This window comes from Homo sapiens, chromosome 3, assembly GCF_000001405.40.
Source record: "Homo sapiens chromosome 3, GRCh38.p14 Primary Assembly".
In the NCBI taxonomy this organism is placed as follows: Eukaryota; Metazoa; Chordata; class Mammalia; order Primates; family Hominidae; genus Homo; species Homo sapiens.
The window spans coordinates 134,376,253-134,393,984 of record NC_000003.12 but is presented as its reverse complement, the minus strand read 5'-3'; the positions used below and the strand labels follow the sequence as shown (position 1 = coordinate 134,393,984).

The window sequence follows — 17,732 nt, the reverse complement described above, 5'->3', positions numbered from 1 at the left end:
AGAGACCATCCTGGCTAAGATGGTGAAACCCCATCTCTACTAAAAATACAAAAAATTAGCTGGGCGTGGTGGCACGTGCCTGTAGTCCCAGCTACTAGGGAGGCTGAGGCCGGAGAATTGCTTGAACCTGGGAGGCGGAGGTTGCAGTGAGCCGAGATCACGCCATTGTACTCCAGCCTGGGTGACAGAGTGAGACTTCGTCTCAAAAAAAAAAAAAAAAAAAAAGGCTCGCAGATGTGGATTCACTCTCTCTTGCCCTTCTACCTTCCACCATATGAAGACATAGTAAGAAGGCCCACACCAGAAGCCAGAGCCTTGATCTTGGACATCCCAGACGCCAGAACTGTGAGTAGTAAATTTCTGTTCTTTATAAATTACCTAGTCTAAGATATTCTGACATAGCAGCACAAATAGAGTAAGACAGTGACAGAGAAAAATAAAGCAGTGAAGGGAATTGGGGAATTGCCAGGGTTTAAGGGTGAGTGGTGAGGTGGGGGTGATAGTGGTTGTAGCTTTAAATAGGGTGAAGAGGAAAGACCTCTCTGAGAAGGTAGCATTGAGCAGAGACCTGCAAGTGAAGGAGTGAGCCATGAGCTATCTAGGGAACGAATGTTACAGACAGAAGAAACAGTCTAGAATGAGTTTTTGTTTTACTTAGCAAAACAAAATTCAGAGAAGGAAACTCTCTTGGCTCCTCTGTTTAGCCTGTAGAAAAAAAATAACTAAGCACTAGCAGCTCACCAAAAATGCATTTTAACTTCCCTCCTGCCCACAGAAAGAGTCAGAAGTCAGACAGAGATAAGCTGTGTTTCCGTTTTCTTTCTTTCCTACATCCTCAATATAGGCAGTTACACACCTTGGCAGGTGGGACCTCTGTGATTTTGAGGTGGTGAAAGAAGCAGTCTAATGCCTTCTTGTCCTACCATTTACCTTGGTGCGGTTTTCCTGCTTGAGTTGGAGTAGAGCATGTAGGGATCGGGGAGCTGGGGCCACAAGCTACAGGAATACCAGCTGGAGAAGACTTGCATGGCCCAGCTCACTCTGGGATCCTTGGGTCCACCCATTCACATTGGGCCAGACCCCAACAGGGGTCTAAGAAATCCAGCCAGGACCACTCTGGCTGCCCAGGGATGGTCAGAGCCAGGGACACTGATGACCACTCACTTCTATCCACACAGGCCTGAGGCTTATCTGAGGAATTCAAGGAGAGAGCAGTTTCCAAATGAGTTGCCCTTTGAAAAACGTAGACCTAAGAAAGTTATTCTATTGTGTAAGTGAGAAGGGAGAGTTTGGGTTGGCCCACTGATCCTCCTTCTCCACACCACTGTGCTCAGAGTGAGGCTGGACATTGAGATTCTGACACCACAGCTGCCTAGGGGAAAATCTGATTTGTGAGAGGAACAGCCAAGAGCAGCTCCCCTTCAGAAATTGGACCAGAGCCAGATTTGACTCTTTGGCCTAAGTCAGAATCAAATAGCTGCCTGTGACTTCTGCCAAACACTGGCTTGACTTGATGCCTCTCACACCCAAGAAAAAAGGGATGTGAACTTTCCATCCAGCTCAAGTCCTCCAGCTCTTCACAGTGTCCTACCTTGGAACCCAGGGTACTCTGCCTCTTTGCAAACAGCAGAGAAGTTTGCAATAAAGACCTTTCCCAGCCAACAAAAATGGGAAGCTTTTGTTACCATCTAGATATAGGAAACACTCACAGAGCAAAAGGAAAATGACCCCAAATGGAAGCACGGAGGTGTAGGAAGGAATAGAAAGCAATAAAAAGGGTCAATAGATGAGAAATTCCAAATGATTTACTCATTACAATATGTAAAAAACAGTAATAATATTTTGTGAGCTTTAAAATATATATAGAACTAGGCTGGGCGCTGTGGCTCACACCTGTTATCCCAGCACTTTGGGAGGCCAAGGCTGGCAGATCACTTGAGGTCCGGATTTCAAGGCCAGCCTGGCCAACATAGCGAAACGGCATCTCCACTAAAAATACAAAAATTAGCCAGGCATGGTGGCGCACTTGTAATCCCAGCTACTTGGGAGGCTGAGGCAGAAGAATCACTTGAACCTGGGAGGCAGAGGTTGCAGTAAGCCAAGATCATACCACTGCACTCCAGCCTGGGTAACAGAGAGCAAAACTCAGTCTCAAAATAAAATAAAATAAAATATATATGGAATTAAAATACATGACAAGAACAGAAAAGATGGGAGGGGAGTGAGTTACAGTGTTCTCAAGTCTTTACATTGCCCTGGAATTGCCAAAAGTATTAATTTACATTAGACTTTTTGTTGTTGTTGAGACAGGCTCTCTCTCTGTTGCCCTGGCTGGAGTGAAGTGGTGCAATCACGGCTCGCTGCAGCCTCCACGTCCAGAGCTCAGGCAATCCTCCCAATTAGCCTCCTGAGTAACTGGGACTATAGGCATACACCACCACACCCAGATCATTTTTTTATTTTTTGTAGAGACGAGGTCTCCCTGTATTGCCCAAGGTGGTCTCAAACTCCTGGGCTCAAGCAATCCTCCCTCTGTGGCCACTCAAAGTGCTGGGATTATAGGCTAAGACTTTAATAAGTCAAGGCTACATGTTGTAATCTCTAGAGTGACCATGGAAAAAAATAGGAAAACTATAACTAATAATCTAAGTGGGTTGGAATAATAAAAATACTTAATCCACAAGAAAGCAAGAAAGAAGAAAAACAAAATATGTAAAATCAATAAAAGACAAACGGTAAGATAGCGGATTTGAACGCTAGTATATTAATAATTCACTAAATATAAATGGGCTAAATGTCCCAATTAAAATCAAAGATTGTCAGACTGGATCCTTTTTAAAGGAAACTAACTCAGGACACCCTTTTGTCTGCTCCACTTAACCTTAGCCCTCTTACTGCTTGAAGGCTGACTTGATAGCTGGAAGTGCAGTGGTTATCTTACAACCATCAGGCTAAGTCTAGACGCGGTGGGCAAAGAAAGGAGGAACAGAAAGACAAAAAGAGCTGGGACACTAAAGATGCCGTGGAGCTGCCACACCAGTCCCAGTACCCACCTGCAGACTTCATGCATTATGGAAGAAAAATGAATCCCTTACTTAAGTTTAAGCCACTCTTAGTGTGGCATCCAATACTCATGGCCAAACATGATTCCTACTATACAAGGCTTAGGACATTACATCTGCAAAACCCACTGATTATTTGATACTAACTTTACCCCATTTAAATCCACTGGGTTGCATTCCACCTACAACTGATAGTAATCACAGTGTGACCACACTGCAAGAGATGAGACCACTGGACCAATCAGAACACAGAAGAGTTTAGCAGACTGGGACCAGCCGCACGCATATCCTGTGAGTGCCCACTTCTCAGACTCAGAGGGATATTGCTAGGGTACTTTATAAGCACCTTAAATGAGTTAGGGGGGAAAAGTGGCTTCCTGTAGGCAGCCACAAATCAAAAAGTTATATGGATCATCCCATGACAAAAACGTCCAAGAGTTAATTTCACTCCTTCAGCAAATTTTTATAGAGCACTTACTATGTGTCAAACATTGTTCTAGTCATCAAGGACACAGACACAAACAAAACAGGCAAAACTACCTGACTTTGTGCTGTTTACATTACAGTGGGGAAAACAAACAATAAAACAATAAATAAGTGAGATAAATAATATGTAGAATGGAAGTAAGTCAGTGGAGGAAAAAAAAATGTGGAAAAAAGGACAGGGACTAGAGTATGTTATAATTTAAATAAGGTGATCAGGGAAGGTTGTGCTAAAGGATGATGTTGATAAAAGACCCAAGGGAGTGAATAATAGACAAAGACAGGGACAGAAAGCTTCAATCTTCTCATCCCCAAAGCAAAAGGAGAGAATCCCAGATAACATGACTCATCCTCATGAACAGCTTTGGCAGAGGGTGCCGCTGGCTCAGAACTGCCCTTGAGTCTTAGTGAGGGAAACCTGGCACATGGGAGGTCCCACTGCAGTGGAGAGAGGTGAGAATTTAAAGAACTGCTCCATGAGAAGGTAATTATTGAGCATGTGCTGGACACCATTAGATATACAACAACCTTATCTATGAGCTAAGTTCTATTACAATGCTTATTTTGCACAAGCTGAGAGTGAGGCTCATCTTTTTGTTCTAGGTGGCAAAACCAGTTAGAGAGGAGAGAAGTTTTCCTGAGTTGCTGTTCTCAGCACCTTGCAATCCCCCACCCTAGCCCCATCCCACCATCTCCAAGTGACCACTTATCAGCCTAACACGCAGGCAATAGTAGGAATAGAGGAGAGTACCTTCAGCTCAGAAGTAAAAAGAAAGGACCCTAAGAAGAGTTGGTTCCTCTTGGGAGCCCTGGGCTGAGCATTCCTCCTCTTCTGACTATGCCATTGAGAGGGGCTGTGTGGGCCCAGGGGTGGGTGGCAGCTGCAAGTGTGGGGGAAAATGAGCCGGCCAAGTCTCCAGCATTAAAGGCTTTGCAGTTGCAGACACCAAGGGCTCTCTCCCCTTCCCGCATCCCATTCTACCCCTCCAACTCACTCTCCATCCCAGGACCTTCCTTCCTTAGCCATTGTTCCTCATGGAAATCAGGCGGCAAGGAAGATGCTGTCTTGGCACCGCCTCCCAAGGGAGCAGGTCTGGAATGTGCTGGGGACATTAGGTCTCCCAGGGAACTCCAGCTGGAGTCTGACTGCTCAGCCACTCCAGTCTGCTGGCTATAAACAGGACAGCCACCAGTACGGGGTGGAGACTGGACCCCAGCACGTGTCAGGACATGAAGACATATGACTAGGGCTGATCCTGGGTTTCAGATGCTCCCCAGGGCTCCAATCCCCTGAATGGCGGGAAGGGAGGGAGAGCAAACGAATTCCCCAGTAAGTGTGCAGGGAAGAGACTGTGTTCTCTCTCTCTTTCTCTTTCCCCATTAATCATGTGCTTTTTTAGTGCCTGGCACCAGGATAGTATTTACATATGTTATGTTGTTTCATTTTCATAACAGCCCTGTGAGGGAAAATCCATCTCATAAATGAGGGGCTGAGGCACAGAGAAATGAGTGATCACACGCTCGAGATGACATACCACCAGGGTTGTCTGAGGCAATGACCCTGGCTCTTAACTACTGTGGCAGAGTCTTTCTCTCTCGGCTCTCCCTCCATTTGCCCCTTCCTGATCTGTTATTCTTCCCTCCATCTTCTTCCTTTCTTCCCTTTCTTCTCTTCTGGCCTCCCTTTCTTCTTTGTATTCATTGATCCAATAAATATTTATGGCAATGTTACATGCCTGGCACTGTGCCTGGCACAGGGAATAAAGCAAAATCCCTCCTGATCAAGTTGACATTCAGTTGAGGGTAGATTGACCATAAAGAAACAATCCCACACATAAATAATTAGTTGCTGATGAAATGACTTGTTTCTATGCAGAGAACAGGAAGAGGATATGCCAGAGAGTGCCCGAGGCTGGGGGTGTTTTAAGCTGGGTGGTCATGGGGGCCTCTCTGAGGAGGCAATGTGTGAGATCAGACATGAAGGAAAAGAAGGCACCAGCCACAAGAAGATGTGGAGCCAGAGTTCTAAGGGTGGGAACAGCAGGTGCAAAAACCCTGGAGTGGGCAGGATCTTGGCAGGTTTGGGGTCTAAAAGGCCAGTGTGGCTGGAGCCCAGTGACCAGGCAAGAGAGCTGTAGGAGAGGTGCAGAAAAGGGTGGATTCTGGATGTGATTTCAAGAGCCCTGGGAAGTTTTTAGGAAGAGGAGCAGTATAATCTAAGTCATGTTTCTGAAAGAGCACTCCAGCTACAATGCAAAGAACAGGCTGAAGAGTGGCAATAGTGGAAGCAGGGAAATGAGTGAGGACACTATTGCAGTGGCCAGGAGGGAGAAAGTGGCAGTTTGGACCAGGGTGGGGACAGTAGGGGTGGAGAAAAATGAGTATTTACTGACAGCTACTAAGTGCCGGGTGCCAAGAGATGAGAAAGGCCCAATCCCCTGTCTTTGCAACGCATCTAGTAACAAGTTGTTCAGGGAAACAAGATCACTGAAGTCCTGTCCTGGGTGTGAAGACAGAGGTCTGCAAGGGCACAGGGGACCCAGTCGGGAAGGATCAGCTCCATTTCAGGAGGGAAGGGAGATTGTGGAGAGAGCTTAGTCTCTTCTGAGCCTCCAACTACTGCAGATGCAGATGACATTCTTGCGGCTAGCTTCAGGACCATGCTGGTGGATCGTACTCATGAGACCAGTGGGGTCCTACAGAATGAAAGTTAGTGTGTGCCAAGGGCTCCAACATTTCCTAAGTCAACCTGAAAGCTGGCATTGAAGCTATTTAGGATCTCAGCAAATGGAATTACTCCCAATAGGCAGCTGGCTTTTCCAAAAGTTCAGTAGAATTCCTTCTTAGTGATCACCAAGCTGAGACTTTAAGGATACACTGAGCTTCCCAGGCAAAGAAAGGGGCGACTCAGGGCATTCCCAAAAGATGCATGTTCAAAGAGGAGAAAGGACTGGGGCTTCAAGTCAACAGCCAGCAGCGCCAACTTGCTGGCAATGTGAGTGAGCCACCTAGGAAGAGGGTCCTCTAACCTCAGTTAATACTTCAGATAACTGCAGCTCCAACCCACACCTCAACTGCAACCCCCTGAAAGACCCCACGTCAGAACCCCCACCAGCCAAGCCACTCTCAAATTCCTGATCCAGAGAGTCTGTGAGCTATAATAACTATTTATTGCTGTTTTAGCCACTAAGTTTTGGGATAGTTTGTTACACAGCAGTAGATAACTAATATAGAAAGAAGGTGAGTGTTGAGATAGTATAGAAGAGAAGTTAGAGAGGAAACCAAACCAAGAACAATTTGCTAAGGGTATCCTTACCGCGTTTACAGGCTGTATGCCCAGGGGTCTCTGCTCTGTCTGTGGTCCCTGATGAGTCCAGTGGCGCATTCTTTCCACCCACAGCCACATCTCCATATGGCTGCTTCTTATGGCTGCTTACACACATAAGGACACTTCTAAAACTAGCTTATTAACACACAGAGCCTACTATGCGCCAGCTCTAAGCTAAGGGCTCTCACATATAAGTTTTTGTTAAATTCTCACAACAAAACTTGGAGGTGAACATTATCATCCCCAGTGCCCAGGACAATATCTAGCACAGAGTAAATATATGTATTAGCACGTAGTAAGACCACTAATAAACAGACCCCAAAATATCAGGGCCTTAAAGACAAGAAATGTATTCCTTTTTCACCAAAATCCTAGGGGAGAGTTGCCTGTAATGTGAAAAAACAGTTAATATAATCTTGGCTACTGTATTAATCAGGGCTCTCTGGAGAAAGAAAACCAATAAAATGGGGAGAGAGAGAGATTTTAAGGAATTGGCTCAAGTACTCGTCGGGATTGACCGGTCTGAAATCTGTAGGGCAGGCTGGCAATTATATGTATGTATACATACACATATATATTTCATTTATTTCTATATACATAATACTATATATAAAGAGTACAAAATTATATACATTTATTATAAAGAGTAAAAAATTATATATATTTATATATATAAAGAGTAAAAAATGTTGTGGGGGAAGAGAATAGAAATACAACTTCAAGGAGAAAAAGAACTAACTAGAATTTCTGATTCTTATTTAATAAGAACTCCTTCATGTATTGTTTTTCTAAAGCATATGGATGGGTATTAAATTGGGATGATATTCAGATTCCCTATGATACATTTAAAAGAGCAATTGAACAGCCTTATTTTTAAATGATTTTACTAAATATTATATCATTCGCAATGATTTAAACTTCTGAAATAAAATTATTCGTTATTCCAGTGACTTTCCAGCTTACAATTTAGAGGCAAATATTCCTTAAGAGGATATCAACTATCAATATTTTCAAATGTTGATAAGCTGTTACCTCATAATTTCTGCCAATTTATAATTTAATATTACACCGCATACTCAAATTGTCAACCTTTCACAGCACATTACCAAAGTTATCAGGAAAACTGGACTACCATGACCAAAGATGTTACCGAGTGCACACTATTCTGACAGGGAGCGCCACCATCAAGGAGCGGTTTTCTTTAACAATTCTACTTATAAACAACATGGGAATAGAAGTAATTTAAAATGTTTAAAAAGTATTAAATGCACGACTGTTTCTGCAAATTGCATTTTGGATGCTTTGTATTACAGGGTATAAATGACCCATCCCCAACTATGGAATGTTAAGCTGACAACCAAGACAGTCAAAGCCCTCTGTAATCAATATGCCACTATTATCTGGCCATACCAAAAAATAAACAATCAGCAAATTACCTTAAAAAAAAGCATTTACACTTAGAATTTGAATGAGAAAGGATTCCCTCCTTCTTAAAAATGTTTCTGGAGCTGCTAAAAAACTTGCATTTGTAAACAATAGTTGATAAAAATATTCCTCTGGATTGTACAAGAAGAGGGATAGAGACCACTGCTAGGACAGGGAAGATAATATCAATCAGAGTCAGCTTCCTTCTCTGGGCTTCATCAGAGCCTGGACTCTCCTCATTTTTTTAGTTCTTCATTTTCTGCAGGTAAAGCTTCTTTGGCTTCCTGGTTAGCCACCTCATCCTGTTTTCCCTTTTGTCTGCTCTTTTTTGTCTGAAGATTTATCCTTTCCTGCTGCCTTTGTGGGCTTCCTTTCCACTTTAGGGTTAGCTGACAACCTTGCAGGTCTTCTCTTGGGCTCTTCCTTCACCACCCTTTGGCTAAGCTGAGCTGACCTTCCTTTTGGGTGTCTTGGTGGCGGAGAGGGTGCGTGCCAGGTGCCTGCAGCGAGCGGTGCCGGGAGCCTTGGAGAAGCAGTGCTGCCTGGCTGCTGCAGCTCCTCTGGCTGCCTGAGCTGCTGGGACCCCTAAGCAACATTTTAAATTCTTATTTTACACATGAGGAAAACAAGGCTTAGAGAAGCTAAGTCGCAGTCACTTGTCCAAGGTCGCCCAGAGAGTAAGTGGCCCATCTCCAACCCAAAGGAAAAGGCAAGCCACAGACTGGGAGAAAGTACTTGCAAAACATACATCTGATAAAGAGCTTACAACCAGAATATAGAAAGAACTCTCACAATTCACTAAAAACAAAACAAACAACTCAATTTTTTTAAAATGGGTAAAACATTTAGACAGATACTTTTTTGGTTTTTGGGTTCTTTTGAGACAAAGTCATACTCTGTCCTCTAGGTTGGAGTGCAGTAGCATGATCTTGGCTCACTGCAATCTTCACCTCCCAGGTTCAAGCGATTCTCCTGCCTCAGCCTCCTGAGACTACAGACGCACCGCACCACACCCTGCAAATTTTTGTATATTTTTTAGTAGGGACAGGGTTTCAGTATGTTGGCCAGGCTAGTCTTGAACTCCTGACCTCAAGTGATCTGTCCATCTTGGTCTCCCAAAGTGCTGGGATTACAGGTGTGAGCCACCGTGCCCGGCCTGGACAGGTATTTTATAAAAGAAGATGTGTGAGTGGCCAATAACCACATGAAAAGATGTTCAGTATCACTAGTTATCAGACAGTTGCAAACTAAAACCATAATGAAACACCATTACTTACCCACTAGAATGGGTAAAATTTAAAAGGCTGACAATACCAAGTGTTGACAGATGGGGAGCAACTGAAACTCTCACACATTATTGATGGGAATGTATAACAACACAGCACTTTGGAAAACCGTGTGGTATCTTACAAAGCTAAGCATACACTTTCCGCATACCCAGCAATTCTATTCCAAACTATTCACAAAAATAAATGAAAATATAGTCTGGGCCAGGCGCGGTAGCTCATGCCTGTAATCCCAGCACTTTGGAAGGCCGAGGTGGGCGGATTAGTTGAGGTCAGGAGTTCAAGACCAGCCTGGCCAACATGGTGAAACCCTGTCTCTACTAAAAATACAAAAATTAGCTAGGCATGGTGGCACACACCTGTAGTCCCAGGTACTCGGGAGGCTGAGGCAGGAGAATCACTTGAACCTGGGAGGCGGGGCTGGAGGTCGAGGGAGGAGCTTGCCTGCAAGCATAACAAGGAAACTTTTAAATAGATGGAGAAGCTGGGCACGGTGGCTCACGCCTGTAATCCCAGCACCTTCGGAGGTGGAGGCAGGTGGATCACTTGAGGTCAGGAGTTCAAGACGAGCCTGGCCAACATGGAGAAACCCCATCTCTATTAAAAATACAAAAAAATCAGCTGGGCATGGTGGTGTGCACCTGTAATCCCAGCTACTTGGGAGGCTGAGGCAAGAGAATTGCTTGAACTCGGGAGATGGAGGTTGTTGCAGTGAGCCGAGATCATGCCACTGCACTCCAGCCTGGGTGACAGAATGAGACCCTGTCTCAAAAAATAAAAATAAAAATAAAAATAAAAATAAATACATGGAAATGATCTAAGTCTTGATTATGGTTGTGGTTATACAATTGCATATAATTACCCAAATTTCTCAAACTACACACCCAAATGGTTGAATTTTATTATATCCTTTTATATTGTTATATCTTACTAAAAATGCAGGTACACCACCATCCAAAAATATTAATAATTGCGGCCGGGTGTGGTGGCTCACGCCTGTAATCCCAGGACTTTGGGAGGCCGAGGCCGGTAGGTCACGAGGTCAGGAGTTTGAGACCAGCCTGACCAACACGGTGAAACCCCGTCTGTACTAAAAATACAAAAATTAGCTGGGCAGGGTGGCACGTGTCTGTAGTCCCAGGTACTTGGGAGGCTGAGGCAGGAGAATTGCTTGAACCCAGGAGGCAAAGGTTGCAGTGAGCCGAGATCGCGCCACTGCACTCCAGCCTGGGCGACAGAGCGAGACTCTGTCTTGAAAAGAAAAAAAAATACTAATAATTGCTGTGACTCCATGGTCCCTGCCTTTCCCACCTTCCTGTGCTCTCATCCCTGCCTAGCCTATGTCTCTCTGGTACTTCCCTCTGACTCCTAGGAAAAAACTCTCTGAGCCTTTCCAAGGCCAACCCCTTTGTACAAGTGCTGGATTCCATTTCTCCTCCTGCCCCAGTCACTTTGGATTTGTGCCGGGGTGAGCAAGATGGGTCCTGCCACAAAGGTCTGAGAAAGCAAGCTGGGGAACCAGGAAACACCAGACCCCCAACAGAGTTTAGCCAATGACCATCTTAACTAAGACTGCACTATTCATGGTCTTCAATGCTGGAGCCATCTTATTCTCCACTAGGATGTTAGGCTCCATACTCCAATTTGTCCCTTGCCTGATATCCTTTAAGATCAGTCTAATTTCTTTCAGCCTGTCTTCACTTATGTGGGTGCCTTAAACAAAATATGTGGTTTCTTTCCTGCAGGAATTTTCAGGCTTTTCATAGAAATCGATGCCATTGTGAATCTCTAAGAAAGAATACTGATTATGGAATCTCCCTGGCATTTTAAACCAGTGCCCACACAACACACCGTGAGGGCTTCTGCACAAAATAAGCAGACATTATCATATCTCCCAAGAGACACTCCAGCCCCAACCTTGCCAGGTCAAAGAACATAACTTTCCCAAAGGGGCTGAAGGGCAGCTGTGCCCTCAGAAGGCAGCAAAAGGTGGGCCTGGAGGAGGCAGAGCTCCCTCCCAACGCCTTCTCCTATGAATACAAAGAGGAAAGGTTACCCGTTTAGACCCAAAGGCAGCTCTGGGTCAGCCTTTTCCTGGAAAAGCATCCCCCTGGGGTCCTAGGATTAGCCCTGGGCCTCTGCAACCCAGGACCTCAAGTTTTTCTTTGGAAGGTCTTGGCTTTGGCCCTGGAGTGCTGGAGCACAGAGTCCTCACACCATCCAGAGTACTGCCTTCACAGAAGCATCCCCACCCCTGGGTTTATCCTTGGCGGATGTATGGGAGCCCAGCCCACAGCATGGAAAGCAAGCCCTGAAGTGGCAGAACCAGATGAACAACCCTGAGTCTGCCAGCTTCCTGGCGCAAGCGCCCATACCAGTCCTGACAAGGCCTGGAATGAGCCACCTCAGTGGGAAAAAGGAAGAGGAAGCTAAACGGAGGAGTGAATACCTTCACCCTGGCTCCGCCCCAAACCCTGCCTGCTGGATGGCAAGAGATGAAAGAAAAAGCCAAACCCTTCAGCGAAAGAAGGCAGGAGAGGAGAAGCAGGAGAGGGATGTCAACAAAATTCTAGAAAGGGGAAAACAGAAAAATGAGATTCTTTCCTTTCTCCCTGCTGAGCGTTTGGGGAAGAATCTCCAACAAGCTTAAGAGGCACCAGACACCTCTATGAAGTGGGCCAGGGTGAGATCCAAAACAGGACTGTGGGTAAGAACCTGAAGAAGGGGAAGGGGAGCACTCTCCAAGATCCCCTCCCTCACTTCATAAAGGGAAGATCAACCCCCTTACCCCGTATCCCTCCTCACTGCCAAATTGTAGAGTTATCATCTGGAGAGCCTAAAGGCAGGGATGGCAGTGGTGGGGTCCTGGTCATGCTTATTCCTCCCAACCCCCTTCATCGCCCCCTCCTCATTCTGCTCTCCCAATGCTGGCTGCCAGCCTCCAGGCAGGAGACTCAGAGGATCCTTCACTGGAAATCTTGCTGGCCCAAGGGAAATGACCTACATATTCTGCTACTTTGGGGTCCCCAATATTAGGGCCAGAATCCTATCCCACCCTTTTTCTGTGAAACCCTCCAAGAATCCAGCTCTGCTCCCACACAGGGCTTCCATTAGCTGTTAACTGCCTCACTCTTAAATAGGATCAGACAGCCAAGAATCAAAGTCATTTGAGGGAAGCCTTAACTACGAAAAACAGAAACCAAAACAAACAGAAAAAAGTGAACCTTAAGGAAACAGAGAAAATGTGAAGATCAGAATAAGAAAACAATTTTCATTATAATTACTACCCCTAAAGGGATAAGAGAAGATAATTAATTCATGAAACAAGAAGATGATGTTATAAAGAGGAATCCTGGACAAGAAACAGCTCTTGAAAATTAAAAATGACAGCAAAAATACAGAAGGGTTAAAATTAAAAAGGGAAGAAATTTCCCAGAAAAGAAAAGATAATAGGAAAAAAATTAAAAGTCGGAGAATCATTCGGGGAGTTCTAACATCCAAATAATTGAAGTTCCAAAAGAGAGAACAGAAAAACTGGAGAAAACTAACAACTAAATCATCTGAGAAAATTTCCCAGAGCTTAGGGACATGACATGCCAGATTGAAGGGCTCACCAAAGACTCAGAATAGAAGACAAGAACATATCAAGGCACATTACTGGGAAACTTCAGAACATCCAGGCATGCAGAGAAAACCCTGTAAGCTTCCAGAGAAAGAGAAAACAATTTATATCCAGAGATCATCAGTCAGAAGTATGTTATTTTTCTCAATAGCAACACCAAAAGCAAGAAGACAATGAAGCAACTCTTTCAAAATACAGAGGGAGAATTCTTTCTCACCCAGAGTTTTATACCCAGGCAACTATCAACAGTGTATGAGTGGTTTTTTAAAAATTTGCCTCTCGCAGATCCATTCTCACAAAGTGACTAGACAAGTAAACCCAGAAAGAGGAAGAAAAAGAACCCAGGAAATGAGGGACCACACAAAAGAGAACTGAGAGGAAGGGCCACAATGAAGATGGAGGACGATCTCAAGATGAAAGCTGTTTGGTAGGACCAAAGAGTGTATCATCCCAATTCTCCAGGTGGGATGACCAGAGATAGACCTGATACAACACAACTGAGTCTACAGTCATTTAGGGAAACTTAGAGTTATGTGTGTCCATTTTGGCACAACTTAATGCTAAATATATAGAACACCAAGCAGATGCAAAATGAGGCAAAGTTTAACTTCAATCAAAACAAAAGTTGTATAAGAAAGAAAATGTGATCACAGCACAGTATATGATTCTGTTCTTAACAATATTTACATAGTCACAATAATATAAACGTTGGATAGTAATTTAACCAAAAATGCCATGTAGCCAAGTCAAGAGGATGAAGGAAAGAAGTGTGTGTGGTGTACAATCCTAATCTTTCATAATAGGAATGAGGTAGATAACACCTAAAGCAGAAGCATAATGAGAGAAGAAAAATAAGAATATTATATAGAAATTCAAGGGTAAACATGGAACATATTTAAAAGTTTAGGCCAGGCATAGTGGCTCACGCCTGTAATCCCAGCTCTTTGGTAGGTCGAGGTGGGCAGATCACCTGAGGTCAGGAGTTCGAGACCAGCCTGGCCAACATGGCAAAACCCCACCTCTACTAAAAATACAAAAATTAGCCTGGCATGGTGGTAGGCACCTGTAATCCCAGCTACTCGGGAGGCTGAGGCAGGATAATAGCTTGAACCAGGGAGGCAGAGGTTGCAGTGAGCTGAGATCATGCCATTGCACTCCAACCTGGGTGACAGAGCAAGACTCCATCTCAAAAAAAAAGTAATAAAAATAAAATTTAAAAGATGTTTAAAGTGATTGTCTCTTTGGAATGGAATTTGGTGGGGGAAAGAGTAAAACAGGGGACTGCTTTCTTACATTGTAGAACTATTTGACTTTTTTTCCCCTTTTTCTTTTGAGGTATACTTAATATATAGTAAACCCACCTATTTAAAATGCACAGTTTGATAAGTTTCATCATAAGTACACCACAGTCAAGAGAGTAAATATATCCAGCACCCTCCACTCAAGTTTCCATGTGCCTTTGTAGTCCTCCTTCCCTCCAGGATTACTCCTAGGGAGGGACATATGGATGGCTGCAGATCAATGGCCACCCAAGAATGGTTCAACAGTTCCTGCCACTGTTTTAGTAAACCAGGGGGTCTGTGCTTCTAGTGCAGGTTCTCCAGATGCCAGCCTGGGGAAGACATCTCACTGTTCAACTTGGCCTTCAGCACTCAGCTTGAGAAATGTCTCTTCCAGGAAGCCCGTCATGACTGCCTCCCTGTGCCCATGCTCCCTTCCTTCAAGGTGTAACTCTCCACTTTGTAGTGTACTTGCTTCTTTTTCCCCTGCACCAAGTGGCCTGAGAGCCCTGCAAGAATGGAAGCCCCCTTTGACTCATAGGGGCTGACTCAGAGCAGGTGCGCAGGGAATGTTTGTTGATTGAAGGTATGAAATACATGACAGAATAGATATGTGGAAGGGTGAATGGGTGAGTGAATGCAAGGTGTTTTCCCACGCCAATGATATAAGGCTGTTTATGTTAAAGATGGTATCTCTTTAAAGACCACGTGAAAGCCCAGCAGAGGCTGAAATGGGAGGAAAGTGCAGAAACACAACTGGAGCCATGAGTCCATTCTTGGAGAGGTCTGAGAGACACCTGTCCCAGGATGAAATCCTGTCCCAAACATCTCTTCCCCTCCCCCTCCCCTCACCCCCAACCTCAGACCCAAGACCCACCTGGGGAGCCCTGGGCTGAGCTGACCCCAGCAACTGGAGATGTGACTCACTAGGGGGCACTCTTCCATCACACTGGCCCTGCCCCAGCAGGCACAAACCCTGCCCTAGGCCCTTCCCTGCAAACTCAGGGGCCTCTTCACATTCCCTGCTGCCTCTTGCCAAGAGCAGAGGATCTTTCCAGGCAGCAATGGCACATCCACCAAATCAGTATTCACTCAGTATAAGGTAGCTTTGCAGAAAAGGCAGGTGTCTGGGGTTACATTGATATTTCAAAATGGTCTTCCTTTATTCACCGGCCAGAATGTGCCCATTCTTAGATCCCCACCCCATTCTTTCCCAGTCTGATGGCTACCCACACAAAAATATACTCAAGTGTGCGCTCCTGCAGTAGTTCATCTATGTATTCACCAATATCCAGACACGTCTTCCATGCAGGACTGGAAATTGTGAAGGCGCTGGGCAGTTACACACCCTAGAAAAAGGGGAGGAAGTGGGAGCATTGTTCAGAGCTCCCTGCCCATTGTGTAACCTCACCATTCACAGGAATCCTCTTAGCCCTGGGCTGGCAGGGGCACCAGAAAGAAGCAAAGGGCCACAGAGGAAGGCCAGGGGCTCAAGGAATGTGTGCAGTTTGGAGAGGCAGGGCTTCTTCTTCTTCTTTTTTTTTTTTTAAACAGAGTCTCACCTGTCACCTAGGCTGGAGTGCAATGGAGCTATCTGAAGTCACTGCAACCTCTGCCTTCTGGATTCAAGCTATTCTCCTGCCTCAGCTTCCTGAGCTAGGATTGCAGGCGTCCACCACCATGCCTGGCTAATTTTTGTATTTTTAGTAGAAACAGGGTTTTGCCATGTCGGCCAGTCTGCTCTCGAACTCCTGACTTCAGGTGAACCACCTGCCTTGGCCTCCCAAAGTGCTGGGATTACAGGCGTGAGCCACCGCACCTGGCTGCTTCTTCATTTTTTTAGGACAACATCCTCTTACCTAAACCACTGTGGGGCTAATTTCATAAATCTCCAACTCTGGAGGATTTAACCCCCAAAGACACAGACCCCATGAGGCCCTTTGTGCATAACGGAGATTCCAGACCTGAAGCATGAGAGTGAAAGGGAGAGGGGGCAGCAGTGGAAGGAGGAGACTTGGGGGAGAAAACCTAGAGGCAGTGATGAAGGCAGGGGAGGAGAAAGGGGTGAAGGGGGGACAGGGGTTTGCAGAAGGACAAAGAGAAGAAAGTCCCCCACTTGGGTCTTCTTCTGTTCTTGGAACTGGAGCACTGGAACTTCCATCCTAATGTTCAGATTCTTCCTATGAATTTGCTTCATGCTCCAGATTCCGGTAGGTTTCCTGTTTCCATAACCTGTCAGAGGGAGTGTTCAGGGGAAGCTGGAAAAGTGAATTTCACAACTAACAGTCATCCTTTGATCTTGCCACCTGCACCCTGGAGCTCTCCTCCACTAAGCAACCATTTGGGAAGTAAGGGGAACATTTCCTTCCCGGCTCCATGGGAGGAGGCTGCTAGGGTCCCACCAAGAACTCACTTTCATGTTCTGGTTGGGTGCAGTGGGATGCAGCTGCAGGGCCAGACTGAGGCCATAAAACAGGCACAGACCCAGACCGGGGCTAAGGAGAGGCGATGGTGTGGGTGCCTGGATCCCTTGCTAAGCCCTGTACACACCTATGATGCAGCCACACCCCAAGGAGCTACACTTCCTAGAGCAAAGGCCTCCAGCCTGGCTTACTCTGAGAATTAGGTCACCTCCGCATCTTTCCTGGATAGGATTCCTGACCCAGCCAGCCACATTGTCATCTGGGAAGAATCATAACCTGTAGGAGGAAGAGAGGAGGTAAAGGAGAATGGGACAAAGTAGATTGAGACAAAGGTGGAAGAAGAAAGCATTGGCTCACTAAGAGAGCCTCTCTCCCCTCTGCTGTAGGTGAAGATTCATATGCAAGCAGGCTGGCCGGCCCAGTGTCCCCTGTGCACATCTGCCTCTGGCACATCTGAACAGTGGTCACCTTCTCCACCAACTATCCTGCAGAGCTGGGGTGGCCGCCAGCTTAGGTAGGCTCCACCGCAGGCCATGCCTGACAGATCTTGCCTTCTGTTCTTTCTGCAGAGAGAAAGGGAAAGGAAAAATAAAAGTACATGCACATTTCTCATTTAGGTTTTGGGATCCCTCTCCCGCTTCTGTCCCTTTGGGGACAGAAATTAGCAATCATGGGGGCCTGTGTGGCTCTGCAGCAGGCTTGTCCACTCCAAGATGTACCTCCTTCACCCTAGCTGCCTTGAACTGACGCCTTTCTGCAACCATCTCAAGAATATTTGTCAAACATTTTGTCAGGTATCCTCCCAAATGCCTGAAAGACAGGA

The 17,732-nt window shown here is 45.5% G+C and overlaps 1 pseudogene, besides 1 other annotated feature; it reads right to left on the bottom strand.

Annotated features, from left to right (window-relative positions):
* HMGN1P9 (high mobility group nucleosome binding domain 1 pseudogene) lies at positions 8,491-8,788 on the bottom strand (annotated as a pseudogene).
* Positions 11,409-11,908: an enhancer, noted in NCBI's record as "H3K4me1 hESC enhancer chr3:134100919-134101418 (GRCh37/hg19 assembly coordinates)". NCBI's record gives its function as "activates a minimal SCP1, AML or CMV promoter by ChIP-STARR-seq in primed H9 embryonic stem cells {active_cell/tissue: H9 hESC(primed)}" and the evidence as "EXISTENCE:reporter gene assay evidence [ECO:0000049][PMID:30033119]".